The sequence below is a fragment of the Homo sapiens genome, chromosome 17 (genome assembly GCF_000001405.40).
Source record: "Homo sapiens chromosome 17, GRCh38.p14 Primary Assembly".
Taxonomy (NCBI): domain Eukaryota; kingdom Metazoa; phylum Chordata; class Mammalia; order Primates; family Hominidae; genus Homo; species Homo sapiens.
Genome location: NC_000017.11, coordinates 70,863,066 through 70,865,947, shown reverse-complemented (window position 1 = coordinate 70,865,947; position 2,882 = coordinate 70,863,066). Strand labels below are relative to the sequence as shown.

The following is a 2,882-nucleotide window of genomic DNA, read 5'->3' as shown; positions in this document are numbered from 1 at the left end:
GAAGTTCAAAAGAATATGATCTACTTTAAGAAACTTCTCTAATTACTAATAAATTCTAATATTTCTGAAGAAAAAGTTTGAGATACGTGACTAGAATCTGTTTCTGTGCCTCTTTCTTCAGGCCTGCAAACTCTTTCTTTTCTTTTAACACAGTGGAAACTAAATTATCTTGAAATAACGTGAAATATGATTTATGTGTTTGTACAATTATACATGTTTTTACTTCAAATTAAGTAAAACAGATTAAAACTTAATGTGTTTTAATGATACTTTAAAAGAAAACATAGATTGCCCTGTCCTAAGCACTTTTATTTTTTTCCACCATCATCCTACCTAGAATGAAGACTCAACCTCAACCTCTCTGGAACTTTCCTGCCTGGCTATATACTTTCTTTTGAGTGAGGAAAATCTGTCAAAATGTTGTATATGCTTAATTTAAAATTATTAATATGTTCACTTCCAAGATATCCCCAAGAGTTCACGATTTGTTTACTATATCACTATGTTATTTAAGCGTAGTCATAATTGGCACCAGCTTCTGTAAGTTACCTTTATTTTGATCAGATAGCACATATACACTTAAACATTTATTAATTTAAATGTGTTTCAAAAACTCATTACAGAAGCCTTCAAATCATAAGTGGGTTGAACTTCATTCACTCGATTTGATTTGAAAATTGAGAACTCTGACACAGTTTTAAATAGAAAACTCAATTTTCTGTACATTGGTAATTCAGACAAAAATTATACCATTAAAAGAGAAGAGAAGGTAATTAACTATTGCTTTCTATGATAACTCCTTTTTTTTTTTTTTTTTTTTTTTTTTTTGACTGTCTTGCTCTATTGCCCAGGCTGGAGTGCAGTGGTGCGATCTCGGCTCACTGCAAGCTCTGCTTCCGAGGTTCATGCCATTCTCCTGCCTCAGCCTCCTGAGTAGCTGGGACTACAGGTGCCTGCCACCATGCCCAGCTAACATTTTTTTGTATTTTTAGTAGAGACAGGGTTTCACCGTGTTAGCCAGGATGGTCTTGATCTCCTGACCTTGTGATTCACCCGCCTCGGCCTCCCAAAATGCTGGGATTACAGGCGTGAGCCACCACGCCCGGCCGATAACTCCTTAAAGCTTCAGCAGTAGGGGGTGTATAAGCAATAGTCCTTGCAGCAAGGAATCCTATAGTCTGTGCCCTTCATATCTTTACTATCCATCTGTCAACAACAAACACCTCAAGTTTCTTAACGTTTTTACCGAGAAATGACAATCTAACTCTTCAATCATTTTTGTTGTATTTCTCTCAATCCTCTCAAAATTCTCCATATCATTCTGTGGTGGTGGTGGTAGTAGCTGGACCCAAAAATGGATAAACCTGCCAGGGTTGAGCATAGATGGACAATTACCTCACGGTTCCTACATACAACACTTACATATATATCAATAACTTTGTAGTTGATACAGTGTTAATCTATCTTACAGACACATTCAGTGCGATGCCCCAGTTTTCTTCTGGACACAAACATTAAGACTACTCCCTACCATCTTCTTGTGGTGCAACTATATTTTACTCCTGTGAAAAGTTCTGCAACATTTTCCTTTTTAGAAGATGAAGGACTTTGTTCCTTGGAAAATGCAAATGAGGAAGAGACACTATATTTGTCAACTATAATACGTTAATCACTGCAGTGAAATATATACTAGCCATTTTATTGTCAGCTCTTGCCATTTCTTGTTAGTCCATCTCCAATCCAGAAAACATAAGAAGTCCCTCTCCACGCAGTGATACAATTTCCTTCTTGAACGTACTCATCTTTAACAAGTTGGACTCTGCCAATGTGTTGCCAAGCCAGTGACATCAGCACTGGCAGGACATAAAATTGAGATAAGAAGTGGCCCCATGACATCACCCTCTTGTTCCTATCAAACAGATGGTTTTTGTATATTGTGCAATTTTAGATCATTATTCATGGTTTGGGTCAGTATAATTCAGGAAGCCAAAAAACTGCCAAGAAAAATTGACCTGGAACCAGTTCAAAGACTTAAAATGATTTTATTGATTAGATGACTAAGTTTTCATTTTCCAGAAGAACATCATGAATCATCAATATATGATAATACCTGAGTCATTTTGCATGCGGCGCGATGTTTAGAACTTCAAAACAAGATCATCTTTGAGGGGTTAACCTTAAAGAAATGTGATAATAAGATAGCTGAGGGACTTTGTTGGGTACAAATGAATGTGGGCCAGAACTACTGACTGAGGCAAGTGGTTTGTTTGAACTGGATGGTTATTTATTTTCACCTTATACTTGCGGACTTCACATCCTCCTCACAGCTCAGCTCAGAGATAGTAAAGAGGTATGTTTCAAACAAGCCAGACAGGAAGCTATTTTGTAAGGCCTTGTTCAGGCATTATACCAAAACAAGAAGACAAAGCACGATTTGGCTGGCTGAGAACTTGGAGAATAAAATCGTGTTCAAAACAAAACAAAACAAAACCTAAATGTGTTCAGAGAAAGCTTTACAAGAGACCATAAATCTCATCTATTCTTTCTTTAAAAAAATGGAAGGAATTTTAGTAATAACACATTTAACACAGAGTAAATATTAGCTATTTTTTAAAAGATATATCTCCTTATATTCATTAGATTATCACTGCCACAGGGCAAATCTCTTGCATGAGCCATTGTGAATTTGTTCCTAAACAAATTCACACTATGCCCAAACCTCTACCCATCTATGCCTCCATTCCATCCTGCTGCCTAAGTGCTGTTCCATGTCTTTGAACATGTTACTATCTTACTTAAAATTAGTAAGACTCTTGTTGCCACCCACTTGAGTATAAATTTATGCATTAAGAAAATCAGGTCTTTTTATTTCTGTGTGGATT

At 36.3% G+C, this 2,882-nt stretch overlaps 1 annotated feature.

Moving 5' to 3' along the window:
• Window positions 1,173–2,372: an enhancer, noted in NCBI's record as "P300/CBP strongly-dependent group 1 enhancer chr17:68859717-68860916 (GRCh37/hg19 assembly coordinates)". NCBI's record gives its function as "activates an origin of replication core promoter dependent on BRD2, BRD4, P300/CBP, MED14 and CDK7 cofactors, with strong dependence on P300/CBP, by STARR-seq in HCT116 cells {active_cell/tissue: HCT116}" and the evidence as "EXISTENCE:reporter gene assay evidence [ECO:0000049][PMID:35650434]".